The 20,842-nt window shown below is 37.7% G+C and overlaps 2 protein-coding genes across 11 annotated transcripts in view; both read left to right on the top strand.

Annotated features, from left to right (window-relative positions):
• Nucleotides 1-12,578, top strand: part of NMU (neuromedin U) — a 41,563-nt gene extending 28,985 nt beyond the window's left edge. For 4 of the 7 annotated variants that reach the window (NM_001292045.2, NM_006681.4, XM_011534368.4 and 1 more), the window contains 6 exons: nucleotides 343-372; nucleotides 461-511; nucleotides 2,460-2,534; nucleotides 7,234-7,287; nucleotides 8,628-8,667; nucleotides 12,398-12,578. In NM_001292045.2, coding sequence (NP_001278974.1) covers nucleotides 343-372; nucleotides 461-511; nucleotides 2,460-2,534; nucleotides 7,234-7,287; nucleotides 8,628-8,663 — 246 coding nt within the window. In that variant the 3' untranslated portion in view covers nucleotides 8,664-8,667; nucleotides 12,398-12,578. The remainder of the gene's footprint in view (nucleotides 1-342; nucleotides 373-460; nucleotides 512-2,459; nucleotides 2,535-7,233; nucleotides 7,288-8,627; nucleotides 8,668-12,397) is intronic. The other 3 variants (XM_047449544.1, NM_001292046.2, NR_120489.2) reach the window with 2 other exon arrangements.
• Nucleotides 12,579-15,563: 2,985 nt separating this feature from the next.
• The window catches only part of PDCL2 (phosducin like 2), a 35,727-nt gene continuing 30,448 nt past the window's right edge, over nucleotides 15,564-20,842 (top strand). For 3 of the 4 annotated variants that reach the window (XM_005265728.4, NM_152401.3, XM_047449616.1), the window contains exon 1: nucleotides 15,564-15,705. In XM_005265728.4, the coding sequence (XP_005265785.1) occupies nucleotides 15,700-15,705 (6 nt within the window). In that variant the 5' untranslated portion in view covers nucleotides 15,564-15,699. Of the gene's footprint in view, nucleotides 15,706-18,138; nucleotides 18,223-20,842 lie in introns of those variants that run through there. The other variant, XM_011534374.3, reaches the window with a different exon arrangement.

Here is a 20,842-nt window from a genome sequence, read left to right as displayed (position 1 = left end):
ATTCTTTCAGTCTTCTCCTCTGAATATTCCATCATGTCATGATATAATAATTTCCCATTCTACCACTGTTGAATATTTAGGATGTTTCCAATTTTTTACACTTATGAATAAAGTTGCAGTAAAGAGATCTTTATGCACATCTTTATTTGTAAACAATATTCAATTAATTTCCCATTTATTTTTAGAGCAACGGATGCTTAACTAATTTCAGTCTTGTATTTTATATGTAACATGAGTCATGTGTTTTAAATAATTATGTGTTATAACATTATAAAATTACTGTATATAAGATAGTAAAATTTTACAATATATAATGATATATACAATATCTCTTTTCAATAGGAACAAGATGAAAAAGATAATACTAAAAGGGTAAGATGATTTTCATACATCTATACCTTATAAAATAATAAGGGAACCATTAATTTTTATAGTAAAACTTACTGCTTTTTTTAAACAGTTCTTATTTCATTATTCGAAGACACAGAAGTTGGGCAAGTCAAATGTTGTGGTAAGTTGTAGAACTACTTCTTAGTAATCACTAATATTTGTTTAAAAGAATGAAACTGTTTTTGCAGCATAATAGAGCTAGATCAGAATTCAAATTTTTTACTTTAAAAGTTTATATGTGAGTAAAGGAATGAAATTCAATATTTATTATACATTTGATTTATTTTATATGTCAATTACTACCTGTACATTAAATTGATTCGTTCATTCATTCATTTAACAGTTATTTACAAAGTATTAGCTATATGCTATGTGCCAGGCACAATCCTAGGTACTAGAAATATAGCAATAAATAAAACAAAATTTAAAAAAGAAATCCCTGGCCAGGTATGGTGGCTCATGCCTGTAATCCCAGCAGTTTGGGAGGCCGAGGCGGGAGGATCACTTGAAGTCCAGAGTTCGAGACCAGCCTGGCCAACATGGTGAAACCCTGTCTCTACTAAAAATACAAAAATTAGCCAGGTGTGGTGGGGCACGCCTGTGGTCTCAGCTACTCGGGAGGTTGAGGCAAGAGAATTGCTTGTACCCAGGAGGTGGAGGTTGCAGTGAGCTGAGATCACGCCACTGCACTCCAGCCTGGACGACAGAGCGATACTCTGTCTCAAAAAAAAAAAAAAGAAAAGAAAGAAAAATCCCTGCTTTTGTGAAACACATTCTAAAGACCAAGAAAATAAAAAAAGCAAATAAATAAGTAAAACATATTGTTTCAGATGGCAATTGTTGCAAATTTAAAAATCATTTGATCCAAGGGCATTTTTTATTTAAAGAATGATTGTCAAAAATGTAATTAAATATAATTAGAAATATCCTCTTCTATTCGTAAGATCTTCTTATTAGTAATTAGGCATTTAATGTGAGAATGTATTCTCTAAGGTTAGCCAAAAACCAATAATTTGAATTCAGTTCACTTTAAAATCATGTAGTATTAGCGGTAGTTTTTCTTTTTGTATGCATGGGTTTTAAAAATGTTAACCAACCTACTTGGTGTTTCAATCTAGGATACTTAGAAATTATTTGACTATAATACTATTTCCACACTTGTGATTCACTTCCATGAACCAATTTAGGGAATGAGGAGCATAGTGTATTTTAAACAGATATATACCTATGGAAAGGTAACTATAATCTTAAACTCAGTTTGAAATATTTATCACATGGAATATTACATATGAGGAGGCGAAAGATTATACTGGCTTTAAACCAAGTACAAGTTGAATTAGTTCACAGATAACTGTTATACAGGGCTCAACATAATCCATGTGATAAATGAATTTAAGATTAATGAGAAGTCTCAATGTGACCCATACCTTTTTAAAAAATGCAGCCATATCAGATAGGTAGCTACATATCTCAAGTGTGCTTTCAATTTCTTTGGCTTGACACCTTTACATTTTGGGAAAATGTATCTTAGTCACAGTTTTCACTATCGAGAACACATTGTCATTTTCACACATTGTTGTCTTGCTCCCAACGTTTCCGTTTTAAGTATATAATTTATAAAGGAGGTTATTAGATGTGTGTATAGTATAATCTTCCAGATTAACATGTTTATAGTGGAAAATTGCTACTGGCAGTGTGGGTTTCGCCTGGTCCGAATTATTTTGAGTAAGTCTAGTAACAGACAGACTGCCTTTTGCCTCTCAAAGAGGCAGTGAGGGGTTTTACTTGCTGACAGTTCACAAGAGAGCTGCAGCCGTCAGGAAAGTGCTTCTTCTCAATATGAGGATAAAAATCCCAGCGTAGAGCTACCAAATTTTATCCCACCTCTTGGTTTATTCTCCACAGTTCTTCGAATTGCTCCCAAAGACCTGTTTTAGGTGACATCTTTAATTTTCTGTTTTGTCTGGGACAAGTTTAGTGGGTAAAAACAAAAACAAATAGGAAACCGTCTTGATGGCCACTGCTGAGAAGCCATGCACTTATTCACGTGTGTGTTCATGTCCTCTCAGTCGTCAGTTGTGCATCCGTTGCTGCAGCTCGTTCCTCACCTGCATGAGAGAAGAATGAAGAGATTCAGAGTGGACGTATGTAATACAAACTGCATGCTGGCTTTGCCATTCCGTGTGGGGCAGCCCTTTCTGTTAATTCCCAGCTGTGGTAGTTCATCAAATGCTGCTCTTCAGGATAAGCCCACACTAATACCCAGTTAGCCAATGTAAGAGCATCTGTTTGTAGACTAGAAGAGAATTGTTCAAGCCGCCCTTCCATGGCCCCCTGCAATATTGTGTCCCTTCTAGCTGAAGCTGTGGACATTGAGGAAAGCTGGAATTATACTGTTTTCCAAAAGCCATGACTTTTGGTGAGAAAATCTATTCTTGGTTTAAGAAAGGACACTGCTTTTGTCCAGTCCTTAGGTAGGAATAAGAGAACAAATAAAGGACAATGTACTGCCCCTCTGTATCCAGCTTGGCAAATAGCTAGGATGGCAAGCTTTCTGCTCAAGTATTTAAATGTTGTTAAGAGTGGGCCAGGCCTGGTGGCTCACACCTGTAATCCCTTCAACTTTGGAAGGCCCAGGTGGGTGGATCCCTTGAGGTCAGGAGTTCAAGACCAGCCTTGGCAACATGGCGAAACCCCGTCCCTACTAAAAATACAAAAAAAAAAAAAAAAAAAAAAAAATTAGCCAGGCATATTGGCGCATGCCTGTAATCCCAGGTACTCGGAGACTGAGGCACAAGAATCGCTTGAACCCAGGAGGCAGAGGTTGCACTGCACTCCAGCTTGGGTGACAGAGCAAGACTCCGTCTCAAAAAAAAAAAAAAAAGTAAGAGTTTGGGTCGTGAAGTAAATATCGGAAACTAAATATATATACTTTGTTTTTTTCAACAAAAAATGTGACCTAAATCCAGCATCTATGTGTAAGATGAATGTAACCCCATTAACACATTCTTACTGTGTTACACTGTGGAGATTTTACAGTCATTTAAAAAGAATCCTAACTCTTGTCGCTCATGCCTGTAATCCCAGCACTTTGGGAGGCTGAGGTGGGTGGATCATTTGAGGTCAGGAGTTTGAGACCAGCCTGGCCAACATGGTGAAACACCGTCTCTACTAAAAATACAAAAATTAGCTGGGCGTGGCGGTGGGCGCCTGTGATCCCAGCTACTCGGGAGGCTGAGGCAGAAGAATCGCTTGAACCGGGGAGGCAGAGGTTGCAGTGAGCTGAAATCTCGCCACTGCACTCCAGCCTGAGTGACAGCGCGAGACTCTGTCTCGAAAAAAAAAAAAGAAAAAAAATCCTAACCCTTGTAACACTGATAATTTCTAGGATTATATATATACACATATATACATATATACGTATATATATACACATATATACATATATACGTATATATATACACATATATACATATATATATATATATATATTTTTTTTTTTTTTTTGAGACGGACTCTTGCTCTGTCGCCCAGACTGGAGTGCAGTGGCGTGATCTCGGCTCACTGCAAGCTCCGCCCCCCGGGTTCACACCATTCGCCTGCCTCAGCCTCCCGAGGAGCTGGGATCACAGGCGCCCGCCGCTACGCCCGGCTAATTTGTTGTATTTTTAGTAGAGACGGAGTTTCACCGTGTAAGCCAGGATGGTCTCGATCTCCTGACCTCGTGATCCGCCTGCCTCGGCTTCCCAAAGTGCTGGTATTACAGGCGTGAGCCACTGCGCCCGGCCTCTAGGATTATTTTTAAGTAATGCCTTCCCTTGCTGTAATACATTATAATTTTCAGTCTTATATTATCTCATTTTATCCTTTGAGGAACTCCGTTAGTACTTATACAAGTATTATTTCCCATTTACAAAAGGGAAAGCAAGTCAGAATAGTTGAAGGAGTTTCCCCAGATCGTATTAGTAAGAGAAAGTACAAAATAGTTTTCTGAATTCTGATCTAGGCAATTTTTTTTTCACTATGCTGTACCCTTTATAGTTTAATTTGGATACTTTTATTATGTTATTTTTAAATTACGTATTTTATTATTAAAAGTTGAATTCAGGCTGGGCGCAGTGGCTCACGCCTGAAATCCCAGCACTTTGGGAGCCCGAGGTGGGCGGATCACCTGAGGTCAGGAGTTTGAGACCAGCCTGTCCATCATGATGAAATCCCGTCTCTACTAAAAATACAAAAACAAAAACAAAAAAAAATCAGCTGGCATGGTGGCGGCACCTGTAATCCCAGCTATTTGGCAGGCTGAGGCAGGAGAATCGTTTGAACCAGGGAGGCAGAGGTTTCAGTAAGCCGAGATCGTGCCACTGCACTCCAGCCTGGGTGACAGAGCAAGACTCCATCTCAAAAAAGAAAAAAAAGAAGTTGAGTTCAGATCATCAAAGTTTTCCTTAATTTCAACACCATATTTAATTTATTCTTCTTAAAGTGCTACCCAAAGTTTTCAGATACTTTTAAAAACACATAGAGTTTAGGTGAATATATTCCTCAAAATTTATTTTTATGGCCAGTATTTCCTCCCTAGAATCTTCACATTCTTAAATGAAGTTTCCATCAAAGAAGACAATATCTGATGCCAACTGTAAAGAGAAATGTAAGATCTTAGGCAGTAGCCCCTTAAAATTTTAGAATTTGCAGAATGAAGAAAAAAGCAGTTGTCATCAAACTCTCTAGAAGTAATACATGCTTTTTTGATTTAACTTTTACTTCTTAAAAGTGTTTGCTCGAGTTATGAATTAGTAAACAATTTCAACTTAAAGATACAGTTTCTTAAAAGACACCAACAATCATTAGTGTGACTACATTATTTCAGTGCCGTGATTTACAAAACCAAAGCTAATCACTCAGTATTGTGGCCAGTTTAGTACATTGACTGAATTTTCCATCTTCAGTGATACCATCTATATTTTCAGACAAATGATAGATCTTAAGGGTATTTTGCAGCCAGTCAATTTCCTAGAAAGCTATGAAAGAAAATAATGTAAAAGATGAATAGAAATGCAATTGCAGGAGAGTGTTCGCTTTGCTGGGCCTAAGTCATCTCATTTTAAAATATATCTTTGATAGTGAAATATTTTGAATTCTTGAAGAAATGAGGTTTTAGATTTTAAAACACTTTTCTTAAATTTTGTTTGCTAGACATCTTTCAATATCATTCCCACATCTTTTATCTCTACCTCCCAAATTATTTTATATGATGCTCTATGCTAATGATAAAACTCTAAAAAGATCTGTATGTTTGGGTTTAGCATTTGGAAGTTTGTATTTGGCACATTTAAATTTACATTTTGTCTGGCCTTTTAGTTTTTTCTCTTTAATATAATATGCATTTGAATTTTTTTATTTGTATTATTATTATTTTTTTGAGACAGGGTCTTTCTCTGTCACCTAGGCTGGAGTGCAGTGACGTGATCATGGCTTACTGCAGACTTGACCTCCTGGGCTCAGGCAATCCTCCCACCTCAGCCTCCTGAGGAGCCTGAGGAGCTGGGTCCACAGGTGTATGCCATCACACCTGGCTAAATTTTTTTATTATTTGTAGAGACTAGGTCTCTCTATGTTGCCCAGGCTGGTCTCAAACTCCTGGGCTCAAGTGATTCTCTGACATCAGCCTCCCAAAGTGCTCAGATTACAGGCATGAGCCACTGTGCCCAGCTGAGAACGTTGCTTATATAGGTATATAAACATATGGTTTATATGTGTACATTTTTTTAAATTTTGAAAACTTAAACTTTTATTTTTTATTTTTCATTGGTTTATTATAGTTATACATATTTTGGGGGTACATGTGATATTTTGATACATGTATACAGTGTGTACATTTTTAAATACAGATTTTTTTCAATATTAAGTAATTTGGGGAGTTATAGTAAAGATGAAAATTAAGTAGAAATATTGAGGATTTAAGATACATTTGTTGCAAACTAAGTATTTCAGAATTTAAACATACATCAGAGCCATTTCTTAGAATTTAATATGATTGTATTCATATTATAAAATAGTTGAAAAAGGTCTTGGCTGAAAGATTTCATGGTGATAGCCATGCTGATAATGCTTTTATGATATAGGTAATTGTTAATGAAAATAGGAAGTTGAAGCTATAAGCCAATTTTATGGAAACCATAAAATGTTAATGTATTTTTTTCATGAAGCTTAAAATGAAATGTTTAAGAAAAAGATATACTTATTATGAATAATTGGGTCATTCCTGTTAATATTTGGATATTTAAAAATTAACATTCTGCACATATAATTATATTAGGAACATCTATCCTAAAGCTTCATTGAATAAATGTAATTTACCAAATTTGTCCTTCAATTTCAAACTACATTTCTGTAGAAATATTGGATAATATTTTTTAGCTTTGACACAATTCTGTTTTATATTTTCCCCTGTTCATGGGTTAACACATGCAATATGTATTTTAAATAAATTATTTCATTCTAACAAAATGCTGAAAGGAGATTTTAAATATAGTCAATTATGAAATGTCTGTCATTTCTCTTTCTACTTATTGATGAATTCACCTAAAACTGACAAAATTCCTGAAAGGCAAATCTGTCACACTGACAAGGAAATTATTTTTAAATATAAGATTCTGATGATACTGCTAGTTGTTGAAAATTTTCAGGTATGATACAAAAATTCTCTATTCAAGTCCCTGATTCCCTCTATGTTTAGTTATGACAGTTGAAAGTAATTTTGACCCTCAATATACTTTCAAGGAGAATTTGCACTTATTTTTAGTGTTATGTGATTTGTAATGCCCTCATTTTCTCTTCTAGGAAGAATTCCAAAGTCCCTTTGCAAGTCAAAGTCGAGGATATTTTTTATTCAGGGTAGGTACATACTGTATTTTTAAAAAATCAATCTACACCAAAATTTAAAAATATGTTCCCTGTGTATTTAACTTTTACATTTCAATTAAGTTTTAAAGTTTATAGATGTTTGGCATCAGGTGTTACAGTCTGACATTCACTTCTGTCACCACCTTATTGCTTCAATACCACAGTATCTCTGATCTCTGATCTCTTCTTTGACCTATTGCTCATGTTTAAACACCTCAAATAGCATTCACCTATTTGACACTTTAATTCCATGACATTTTATGTATAGAAAGTAACTGTCTTAAAGATACACTATTCCTTATGTTCTATGGAATTATTTACAAAATTTTTGACTCAGTAGATTGGAAGAGTTACGAATACTTTCACAAATTCTTAAAATTAAAAGAATCTGCCATAATAAAAGGTATAAGTAGACAGAATTTCAGGATTACAGTTCTGATTTTGTTTGTCCACATTGTCTATAAAATGTGAGGTTTTTTTCTAGGCAGCTACACTTTGCAAAATATTTGCATCCTTAATACATTACCAGAAAGTTTTAATTAATTCATTCAACAACTATTTATTGAACTTCTACTGGGTGCTGAGCAATGTACCAAGGGCTGGGACTATAAAGACAGATAGGATTCCATTCCTATGCTCTAGGAATTTAGATAGGCTCAAAACAGATAAGTAAACAAATATAAAGTACTGTGTGAAATGCACTTGTAGTCCAAAGGCTGTGATTTCCAAAAGAAAAGCATTTAATTCCAGCTGGGGAATGGAAGAGGTACAGAGAAGACTTCAAGGGCTGAATCCTGAAGCATCAATGGGAATCGGTTGATGAAATATTTAGCTAAGAAATTTCAGCTTTACACTAAAGGCTAAGGAGGGGGCAAATGTGGTAAGATTTGCCTTTTGGAAAATAATTCTAACAGCAAATTAGAGAATGGATTGAATGAAGGAATTGGACTGATAGCAGGAAGAAGTAAGCAGCTAAACAGCCCTGACTTCAGTAAGTTCATTTTGGTTCATATCAAATTAAAATTGAGAACATTTGTTTTAAAATGTTGGTACCATCAAGGAAATAAGCAAAGTCAAATAGCATCTAGTTCATGGTGGTCTTTGCAGCATTAGCAGCACCTCAGAACTTGTTAGAAATACAAATTTCTCAGGATTCTCAGACTTACTAAATCAGAAATTCTGGCTATGGGGTCCAGCAGTCTATGTTGTAAAAAGCCCTCTAGATGATTGTGATGCACGTTAAACACTCCTCTAAATCATCAATCTGTTTCTATGACTGTTAGCTTGCATCTTTAGTTACACTGATTTATTTCTAATCTATTATTTTTCAGCCACGGAATGGAAGAAGGTCAGCAGGGTTCATTTAAAATGGTATGTGAGAAATAAATAAACAAATAAATAAATAAAATAGTATGCATTTCACAGTTCAACACAGTTTGACATTTGCTGTTGTTTTCAAATAGTCACAAATTAAACTATGTTAAATGTATTTCTATTATTTGATTGCATATGTACATGAATGTTCCATATAAATACTACAATGATAGGAGCTGTAAGGGCTTTATTGTAATGAGAAAATACCAGTATTTTAGGGCCTCATTTGCTTTGCCTATGTCATTTATTCCTCAGACTATGTCACAATAGTAATGATCATAAGTGATTTTGTAGACATTGATCTTATCATCATTTATTGTGCAAGTAGGATATGTCAGGGAATGAATTCTTATTGCAGTAATCAGTGTCTATCATAACGGGCCAAGATTTACGGACTGAAAGTACTTCTGTCATCTAAATAACTGATACTCAAAGATTCTTTATAAAAGCTAGTGATTTACCAGTTTCTAGAGAATATTTTAAAATGTGGAAAGACATGAGAGAATGTTACCTCTTCTTTTGTGCTACCAGAATTTCTACCTCAGTGCTGGACATAGAGTAGAAATTTAGTAGCTGTTGACTGTTCCCACATGTTTAATAAATATGTTAATCCTAATATTTTATTAGACAATAAAAGTTGAAATCAAACCCAAATGCAGATTCATAAATTTATACCACAGAAATAAAAGTGTATTCTATTAAGTTTTGTAATCCTAAATCCAGATTTTATGCTGAACATATTTTTTCAAATATATCATTCATTTTAGACTGGGCATAGTGGCTCATGCCTGTAATCCCATCACTTTGGGAGGCTAGGGCACGAGGATCACCTGAGCACAGGATTTTGATACCCCATCTCTACAAATACTTAAGAAAAAAATTAGCCAGATGTGGTGGTGCATGCCTGTAGTCCTAGCTACTTCAGAGGCTGAGATGGGAGGATCGCTTGAGCCCAGGAGTTTGAGGCTGTGAGCTATGATCTTTCCTCTGCATTCCAGCCAAGGCAATAGAACAAGAACTTATCTCACAAAAAAAAAAAAAAAAAAAAACCACAACCAAAACAACAACAACAAAGTAAATTTCAAGAAGGCAGAAGGAAGAAAGTTATAAAAATGAAAGAAGAAATTGATGTTAAAAATAGTAAAGTAGAAGGACGGTAAACAAAGCAAAAATCTGTCAGTAATTCTTTACAAAAAATAAAATAAATTATACTAGTGTAATCAAGAAAAAGGATAAAATCATAAATATAGAAAAGTACAAATGAAAAGAGAAATTAAAACAGAGAAGAAATAAAAATCATGAAAGAGTACTTTGCACATCTCTCTACACATCAGTTTGGAAACCTGGATAAAATGGAGGATTGTCTAATAAAGTAGGTGCTACCAAAATTGACCTCAGAAGAAAGAAAAACACTAAACAGACTAATAGGTATGGGGAAAAAATTGGAATATGTTATCTAGAAACTATACCCGCGGCTGGGCACGGTGGCTCACGCCTGTAATCCCAGCACCTTGGGAGGCCAAGGTGGGCGGATCACCTGAGGTCGGGAGCCTGACCAGCCTGACCAACATGGAGAAATCCTGTCTCTCCTAAAAATACAAAATTAGCCTGGTGTGGTGGTGCATGCCTGTAATCCCAGCTACTCGGGAGGCTGAGGCAGGAGAATCACCTGAACCCAGGAGGGAGAGGTTGCAGTGAGCCAAGACTGCACCATTGTACTCCAGCCTGGGCAACAAGAGCAAAAAAAAAGGAAACTATGCCCACTCAAAACTATACTCTGTCTCAAAAAGAAGAAGAAGAAGAAAAAAAAGAAACTATACCCACAATATACCCTCAAAAAGTACTAAGCCAATAATTTTGAATTTTTTCAGCTCAGAGAAAGAAGAAAAATTACCCAATATTTTTATGAAGCCAGCATAATATTAATACAAAAACTTTTAAAAAGTATAAAAAAATGAAACTGTAAGTAAATTGTATTTATAAATATTAATGTAAAAATTTAAAAGGAATATTATTAAACAGTATTCATCAGTATACTTAAATAATTTTATGACCCCACTAAGATTTGTTCCAGCAACTCAAGGATGGTTGTTCAACGTTAAGAAGTGTGTTAAAAGTTTTCACTATTAGAAGAAAAATTATGATAATCTCAACAGATGCTTTTGGTAAAATTTCACATCAATTTCTGATCTATTAGGAAGAGATTAAACCTTTCTTGACATGATTTATACAATGGTCTCAAACCAAGTTAGTACAGTAGCTGACTTGTTAGTGAAACACTTTGGAGCTTTTCCGTTAATGTCAGGAACAAGATAAAGATACTCTCTAATTTCTTATTTAATGTAGTTCTTAATGTGTTAGCCAATTCAATTAGAAAAGAAAGAAATAAAAGATTCAAATAGTGGAAAAGCGAAGGAAAAATTTAATGTGCTCATGGGACATAATTAGGAACTTGAATTTGCAGACTGTGTTTGGTATTAACTCCTGCTTCAGAAGAGGCCTGATAAATTATGTTCACATAAGGAATATGAGAAAACATATCCTTAATTTTGTATTTTTTCAAGGAACAAAGAACAGAGAGCTAATGGAAAAGAAACTATTTTATCTTTTATAATATTATAAATGTACATTGGCATTTAAAAATTTTATTAAATAGCTTAATATTAAATGGGAAAAAATACCTGTGATTGTAACATTGAAATAAGTATTAGAGTGTTCACAATGTGAAACAGAACTTAATCCATGATTTGGTGAATTTAGTAAAAAAAAAAAAAAACCTCCAAAATTGAGAATAATTGCTTTATTCAGATTATTTTCAAGATTAGGGTGTCCATAAACTAATGTACTCGTGATTTCATTTTATTTTGCCAATAGAAAAACAATATAATAATCATTTTTTCTTTGTTTTTCTCATCTGATTTTCTAAGGCCTTTCTCTATCCTGATGACCTATATTTATTTAGAAAGTGGTTAAACATAAAATAGAATGATTTAGTTGCAAATATAGGAGGAAATAGATATACAAGGAGTAAATGTAAGCCTTTGAAATAGCTTATTCATAAATCTTATTGGTATTAATGAGCTTTAGGAAATCACTTTTAAATAGTTAAATACTGTAAACTGTTGGAAGACACAGACATACAGAATAAGTGTTCCATTAGAGACAGATTAAATGATATATAGTTAAAAATATACAGACAGGTCGGGTACGGTGACTCACCCCTGTAATCCCAGCACTTTGGGAGGCCAAAGGGGCAGATCACTAGAGGTCAGGAATTTGAGACCAGCCTGACCAACATGGTGAAACTCTGTCTCTACTAAAAATACAAAAATTAGCTGGGCATGGTGGTGCACTTCTGTAATACCAGCTACTCAGGAGGCTGAGGCAGGAGAATTGCTTGATCCCGGGAGGTGGAGGTTGCAGTGAGCCAAGATCGCGCCACTGCACTCCAACCTGGGCAACAGAGCAAGACTCTGTCTCAAAAAAAAAAAAAAATATATATATATATATATATACACACACACACATATATATATTTCTTCTGTCTGTGTGCATGTGTGTGTGTGTGTGTGTGTATATATATATATATATATATACAGCTGGGAAATATGTCAGATGCTACTGTTATTCTATGACAAAATATTTATAGAAATGTCTATATACAAACATTATATACACACATTCACGTGGTCATTTACACTTTAATTCAATTTTTCTTTTTTTACAGGATGCCAGCTAATTTTCCACAGAGCAATGCTATGGAATACAAAATGTACTGACATTTTGTTTTCTTCTGAAAAAAATCCTTGCTAAATGTACTCTGTTGAAAATCCCTGTGTTGTCAATGTTCTCAGTTGTAACAATGTTGTAAATGTTCAATTTGTTGAAAATTAAAAAATCTAAAAATATTTTTGCTTAGTGTTTTAATGAGAAATACTGTGTAATAAACCTGTAAATAATGATGTTCCTTAGATCCCTGCCAGGTTTGACAGTACAGCACACATGCATTTTTTTTTTTGAGACAGTTTGGCTCTGTCACCCAGGCTGGAGTGCAGTGGTGTGATCTTGGCTCACTGCAACCTCTGCCTCCCGGGTTCAAGCGATTCTCCTGCCTCAGCCTCCCGACTAGCTGGGATTACAGGCATGCGCCACCATGCTCAGCTAACTTTTTTTTTTGTATTTTTTTTGTATTTTTAGTAGAGATGGGGTTTCACCATGTTGGCCAGGCTGGTCTCGAACTCCTGACCGCAGGTTATCCACCTGCCTTGGCCTCCCAAAGTGCTGGGATTACAAGCATGAGTCACCATGCCCTGCCCATATGCTTTTTTGATGTTTTCATTAAAGGCACTCAGAGAGAGTTGAGAGTTGAGTTTTAATGAGCTGTTTTAGTTTATCATGTTTGGATTTTTGTCAGTGACAAAACCACCAGCTCTCATAAATACCAGAATGCCCAGTAGCTACCAATCTTAGAATGTGAGCACCAACTGAAACTATACTAGTTGGAGGATTGGGCCATAACCCATCCAATAGTCCAATAAGCAAGTTCTGATTTATAAACTGTATAATGGATTTCTGATTGCTACAAATATATCAGAGGACTAACTTCTTCTACCAACTCATAGTATTCAATTTATCCTAAAATAAGTTACTTCACCTCGCAATATCTGAAAGGCAACCAGTCTTGTCTATTAGCAGAAAGAAAATAATCTTATTAATAGAGGATCATGAACACACATTGGGAACTTTTAACATCAAATAAATGTTTAGTGGGCACAGAGTTAACTTCAGATGGAGATTGAATTTATCTCCTCTGAGGTTCCCCTTGATCTTTTTTCCTTCTGACCTCTGTCTTAGATTCCCACCTCCTCCATCAGGAAGGTTGCTGGCCGATTGGAAAGGAGTGGCTCTTTTGAGTAGGTAGAATTGGGTCTATACAGACATTCTTCAGAGCAGAGTATCTAACAAATCTTTGTCTTTCTAATGTTGACCAATTATTATAGCTTAAGTTACACCTTTTACTAACAAAGTTCCTGAATTTCACTTCTTGTTAACCTGAGTGAAGAACTCAGGTTAATAAGAAGAAGCAGAAGAGAAAAAAATACATTATTTTTAGAAAAATAAATTGCCTTGATAAGATGGGGACTTGAGAGCAAGGAGAGCATGCTGCCCTAAAACCACAAATGCATGGGGCAGCATTAGCTAGTTCTGTGCACAGTACTTCCACTAGCCTGGACTTTGGATTGTCAAAATAAGAAAAGAATATTAATTTAATCAGCAGTTCCCAGGGCCTCTCAGAAATCCAGAGAGACATAGGTAACATTTTTAGGGCTCCTGGGATGAATAAGAAGAAGAAAGAGGAAGAAGAAGAAGATGAGAAAAATACCAAGACATGATTACAAAAATTGTGATATGTTCTTAATTATTTATATTTAACAGATTCATGTCTCATACACAAACACAACAGAATATATGGGCTACTAGGAGTATAAGATTTGTATTAAGTATCAGCTAGGCACTAGAGATGGACTGGCCCCATGTTGAACCCAAGTTTAAAGTTATGTCATTAAAAACATTTTTTTTCTTTCCAAGTCCTGTGAGTATATCTCTGGAACTGTGTAAAACAACTTGTATAAAACACCAAGTGTTTTCCTCAAGTTCCTGGCATCTCCCAGTAAACATCCTTTCCTTAATTTAAACACAGAGGAACCCCTACCTGTCTAGGCATCCTACCTAAAACCAGAGCTTTTTTTTTTTTTTTTTTTTTTTTTTTTTTTTTTTTATTTAGACAGATCTCACTCTGTCGCCCAGGCTGGAGTGCAGTGGCGTGATCTTGACTCACTGCAAACTCTGCCTCCTGGGTTCAAGTGATTCTCCTGCCTCAGCCTCCTGAGTAGCTGGGATTACAGGCACCTGCCACATCCTGTTAGTTTTTGTATTTTTAGTAGAGATGAGGTTTCACCATGTTGGCCAGGCTGGTCTTGAACTCCTGACCTCAAGTGATCCACCTGCCTCAGCCTCCCAAAGAGCTGGGACTGCAGGCTTGTGCCACCGTGCCTGGCCTAAAGCCAGAGCTTCTGTCACTTAAGGCAGTGGATTTTTTAAGATGGAGTTGGGGAGCCTACAGTCCCATTTAAGCATCTAATGAAAGCTCTGGCTCTTAATTTCAGAAAAAAATGTACACATACAACAAAATTACGTGTAGTACACTTGGGGGCTGGGGGGCAAGATATTCCCTAAAATCTATCCAAATACATTGTATGGGCTAAGTGTAGTGGCTCATGCCTGTAATCCCAGCACTTTGGGAGGCTGAGGTGGGAGGATCACTTGAGCTCAGGAGTTCAAAACCAGCCTAGGCAACATGTGAGACCCCTGTCTGTACAAAAAAATTTAAGAAGTTATCTGGGTATGATGGCACATGCATCTGTGATCCCAGCTACATGGGATGCTTAGACAGGAGGACTGCTTGAGCCGTGGAGGTGGAGGCTGCTGTGAGCAGTGTTTGCACCACTTCACTCCAGCCGGTGAGACAGAGCAAGACTCTGTCTCTAAACAAAAAAATATATAGTCTATGGATTCCAGGTTAAGAACGCCTCCTCTGAAGGGTTCTCCACCCCAGGAGTTTGTTATTTCTCCATGAAGACAGGACTCAGGGTTTGAAGGGTGCCAGAGTCTCTGAAACAATCGGTTGATTCAATGGTGGTGATGGAGGGAAAAGTTGACAAGAATGTCAGCACCAGCACCACAAAGGGAACAGGAAAGGCAGTGCTTGGGATAGATGCTCCAGGACCTGGCGCGTCAGTACCCACAACCATCCCCTGTGTTGGGCCTCTGCATTGCCTGGCAACCAAGCTGCCACGCCCGCCCATGCGTAACAAGTCCTTGTTCGCCTCTCCCTCTTCTGGCGGTCACTCGAAACCGCCGGGCCTGAAGCGGGCGCTCTTCCAGCCTGGAGAAGGCTGCGGGTCTCCATCCGTGGCGCCTCGCCAGCTGCAGGACGACGCGGGCTCTTGAGGGGCAGAGCAGCGCATCATGCAGGTGAGGGTCGGGACCTGCCGAGCCACCCTGGAACACCCAGTGGGTCTCCAGCTGGGCCCGAAGCCAAGGGACACAAATGGGGAGGGCGGACACAGGAGGTAGGCTCTAACATTTGTTCTTGGAAAGTGCTAAATTTTGCGTGCTTCTCTGTCTAGTTTTGAGAAAAATCCTCTAGGAGAACGCCATTTTTTCAGCCTTTAAGACTTGTGTCTGTCGCTGGAGAAAACGTTAAAAGAGTTGTTACGTATTGTGTTTCACACCAAAATCATAGAAATCTTACTGCTGAATACTATTTTTGACTTAATAGAGCGGCAACGTTAGCCCAAGTGTAATTCAATTTGGTTGTCCTCCTCCACTACCTTAAAAAATAAGAACAGAAAACCTACTAGTCACATATGTCTTAATACCATATGTCCCTAGAGTTTCTTGCACCTCACCTCAAAAACTCTGTTAGACTTTTGGGAGGCGGAGGCGGGCGGATCACAGGTCAAGAGATTGAGACCATCTTGGCCAACATGGTGAAACCCCATCTCTACTAAAAATACAAAAATTACCTGGGCGTGGTGGCGTGCGCCTGTAGCCCCAGCTACCTGGGAGGCTGAAGCAGGAGAATCGCTTGAACCAGAGGCAGAGGTTTCAGTGAGCCGAGATTGCACCACTGCACTCCAGCCTGGCGGCAGAGTGAGACTGCGCCTCAGAACAAACAAACAAACAAACAAAAACTCAGACTTCCAAAATGTTTCTTAGAAGGCTCCTCCTCTGTCTAATGGTTCCTTATTAATCAGAAGCCTGTGCCGTCCTTTTTTTTTTTTGGTACAGTAAAATTGTCTTTCTAACTTACAGAAACACCTTTTCCCCACCTGCTCCTGCAGATTAAAACCACTGGGATTTTTCTCATTTTACATATTTAATTTTGGGTGTTTGTATGTACTGTATAATTTATTAGGATATTTTGAACATCAGTTACATATAATTTTTTATGGCCAGTCCTTTCATGCTAATAATGGATTCGTAGCAAGCACATTTTATATGTGTGTAAAAACATTGCAGATTTGTCCTGATTTGCATCTGCTCTTCAGGATTGAAATGTAATTGACAGTGAAGGCAACATCACATTAATCTTTGTTGGTTTACTGATTAATTCAACAGCCAGTTATTCAGTGCTTATGTTTTAGATACGGACCTGTTCTAAGAGCTTACTAATGAGGGAACAAGAAGAAGACAGATATAACTATTAATGGCATGGTAAATGCCTTCATAGTTTGAGCAAATAGATTGTGGTGCCTGTTTCTGTTAGATAAAATTTCATGGCCGAGGGCAGTGGCTCATGCCTGTAACCCCAGCACTTTGGGAGGCTGAGGCAGGCAGATCCCTTGAGGTCAGGAGTTCAAGACCAGCCTGGCCTACATGGCAAAACCCCATTTCTACTAAAAATACAAAAAAAAAAAAATTAGCTGGACATTGTGGCACATACCTGTAGTCCCAGCTACTTGGGAGGCTGAGACAGGAGAATCGCTTGAACCCAGGAGGCGGAGGATGCAGTGAGCTGAGAGTGCACCACTGCACTCCAGCCTGGGTGACAGAGCAAGATTCCATCTCGGGGGGGAAAAAATTCATAGTTCATGTCTTTTTTTTTTTTTTTTTGGAGACAGGATCTTGCTCTGTCACCCAGCCTGGAGTGCAGTGACATGATCAACCTCCCAGGCTCAAGTGTTCTCCCACCTCAGCATCCCTAGTAGCTGGGACTACAGGTGCATGCCACCATACACAGTTAATTTTTTTTTTTGTAGAGATGGGGCCTCGCCAAACCCAGGTTGATCTCAAACTGTTGGGCTCAAGGTGGAAAAGGTACCACCTGAAATCCGCACAACAAACCTTACTCTTTTTTTTTTTTTTTTTTTTTTTTTGAGACAGAGCCTAGCTCTGTCATCCAGGCTGGAGTACAGTGGTGCGATCTCAGCTTACTGCAACCTCCACCTCCCGGGTTCAAGCAATTCTCCTGCCTCAGCCTCCTGAGTAGCTGGGATTACAGGAGTGCACCACCACGCCTGGCTAATTTTTGTATTTTTAGTAGAGACAGGGTTTCACCATGTTGGCCAGGCTGGTCTTGGAGTCCTGACCTCAAAAGATCTGCCTGCTTTGGCCTCTCAAAGCGCTGGGATTACAGGCATGAGTCACTGCGCCTGGCTGCCAAAGCTTACTCTTAATGTACCCTGCTTTTCCTGGTCACCTCCCCATAACTTGCCTCCCACATACCCTTCTTCTTTTGTTTCAGCGAAACATGGTATTTAAGCCTGAATTTTAAGCAACCTCTTTGACATACACTCATTTTCCCTGGTATCTCCAATGTATCCATGAGGTATACATACTCATAAACTCTTTTTCTCTTGTTAATCTGTCTTTTATTACAGGAGTCTGTCCCAGCTAAGAAGTCAGAATGATAGAAAATTATTTGAGGTGGAACCAAAGGGTTTGGTCCATCAAAGGATGGGAGATGAATAGGAGGGTGAACCGGAGGTAAACACATGTCTAGGAGAATTCAGGGAAGGATATCTTGGTGCTTATTGGAACAGAAGAGAAAATGAAAAGGAGTAAACCCTGTCGAAAAACATTTCGGCCTAAGACAGCTCTCATATGGATTTGTAACCTGAGTCGTATTGTTGGGTGGTCCAGCAACCTTAAACTGTGAATTCGTTATATATTGTAGTGCTCTCAAATACCTGGAAGAAAAAAAATATAAATCCTCTGTAGAGGAAGATGTCTTTAGTTTAGGCTTTAAGGAATTCCCATCAATAAGTTTTCGAGGACAGAAAGCAGAAATCAGTCAAAGGTAACCAAGCACACAAGGAAATAAGCCACCATGAGACCATGAACCAACAGAAACAGATTTACAGAGATTTTTAGATAACAGAATGATCAGAAATAGGTTATAAAACATCCGTACTGGCTGGGCGCGGTGGCTCATGCCTGTAATACCAGCACTTTGGGAGGCCGAGGTGGGCGGATCACGAGGTCAGGAGATCGAGACCATCCTGGCTAACACGGTGAAACCCCGTCTCTACTAAAAAAATACAAAAAATTAGCCAGGTTTGGTGGCAGGCGCCTGTGGTCCCAGCTACTTGGGAGGCTGAGGCAAGAGAATGGCATGAACCCAGGAGGCAGAGCTTGCAGTGAGCCCAGATCACGCCACTGTACTCCAGCCTGGGCAACAGAGCGAGACTCTCTAAAAAAAAAAAAAGTACTTATAAATACTGAAAACTATAAAACAGACAAATAGAGTAGAATAGAAAGCCTTGAAATAAACCCACACATATTTTCAAAAAATTTTTAACAAGAGTGCCAAGACCATTAAATGGGCAACAGTTAATTTTTTTTCAATAAAGGGTGCTGGGTAAACTGGGTATCCACATGCAAAAGAATGAAGTTGGAACCTTATCTTAGACTTTGTGAATCTGAAATATCTGAAACAGGTTTCAGTTGACTTAGAAAGTTTATTTTGCCAAGGTTAAGGATGTACCCATGACACAGCCTTAAGAGGTCCTGATGACATGCGTCCAGTGTGGTTGGGGTACAGCTTGCATTTCGGGAGACATCATTCAATATGTGTAAGATGTACATTGATTTGGTCTAGTAAGGCAGGACAACTTCAAGAGGGGGCTTTAAGGTCAGAAGTAGATAAGAGAGTCCTTGATCCTTTTGAGTCCTTGATTAGCCTTCCACTGAATACACAATTTAGTCTGGCTCAGTGAGTCTGCACTTTTACATAAACAGTAGAGCAGAGGAAGCAATCAGATATGCATTTGTCTCAGGTGAGTCTGAGAGGGATGACTTTCAGTTCTGTCTGTCCTTTGTCCACAAGGAATTTCCTTTTGGGCAAATTGTGAGGGAGGTGTGTAGCTTGTGTCTTTGTAGCTATTTTATTTAGGAGTAAAATGGGAGGCAGGTTTGCCTGACATAGTTCCCAACTTGACTTTTCCCTTGGCTTAGTGATTTGGGGGTCCTGAGATTTATTTTTCTTTCACAACTGTATACAAAAATTAACTCAAACTGCATCAAAGTCCTATAGCTAAAGGTAGAAATCTCTTAAAAGGAAACATAAGATAGATTCATGACATTGAGTTTGACAATAATTTCTTGGTTATGACACCAAAAGCACAGGTAACAAAAGAAAAAAATAAATTGTACTTTACCAAATTTAAAACATTTTTTTGCGTCAGAGGATATTATCAAGAGAATGAAAAGACAAGTGTTGAGACACAGTGGCTGAAACCTGTAATCCCAGCACTTTGGGAGGCTGAGGCAGGTGGATCATTTGAGGTCAGGAGTTTGAGACCAACCTGGCCAACATGGTGAAACCCAATCTCTACTAAAAATACAAAAATTAGCTGGGTGTGGTGGTGGGCATCTGTAATCTTAGCTACTCAGGAGGCTGAAGCAGGAGAATCGTTTAAACCTAGGAAGAATTCTCAGTGAGCCGAGATTGCTCCACTGCACTCCATCCTGAGCAATAGACTGAGACTTCATCTCAAAAAAAAAAAATTTAAAAAAAACAGAAAAAGAAAAAAGACAACCCACAGAATAGAAAATATTGGCTGATCATATATTTGATAAGAGGATAATATCCAGAAGATATAAAGACTTCCTAAAACTCAACAACAAAAAGACAAACAACCCAATATAAAAATGGGCAAAAGATTTTGCTATAGTTTGAGTGTGTCTGCTCCAAAATTCAGTTGTTTCCAATGTGATAGTATTAGGAGGTGGGGCCTTTAAGAGGTGATTAGGCCATGAAGTCTCCTTCCTTATAAATGGGATTAGATACCCTTATAAAAGGGCTTGCTACAGAGAGTATGTCCCTTTTTTTTTTTTTTTTTTTTTTTTTTTTTTACTATTCTGTCTTTTGCCACGTGAGGACACAGTGTTCCTCTCCTCTGGAAGACACAGTGTTCAAGGTACCATCTTGAAAGAAGAGATCAGACCCTCACTGGACAATGAACTTGACAGTGCCATAATCTTAGATTTCCCAGCCTCCAGAACAGTGAAAAATAAATTTCTGTTCTTTATAATTTACCCAGTCTAAGATATTTTGTTATAGAGTACAAACTGGACTAAGACAAACTTGAATAGACGTTTCTTA

Source organism: Homo sapiens, chromosome 4, assembly GCF_000001405.40.
Source record: "Homo sapiens chromosome 4, GRCh38.p14 Primary Assembly".
Classification (NCBI taxonomy): domain Eukaryota; kingdom Metazoa; phylum Chordata; class Mammalia; order Primates; family Hominidae; genus Homo; species Homo sapiens.
This window is presented reverse-complemented; position numbering and strand designations above follow the sequence as displayed.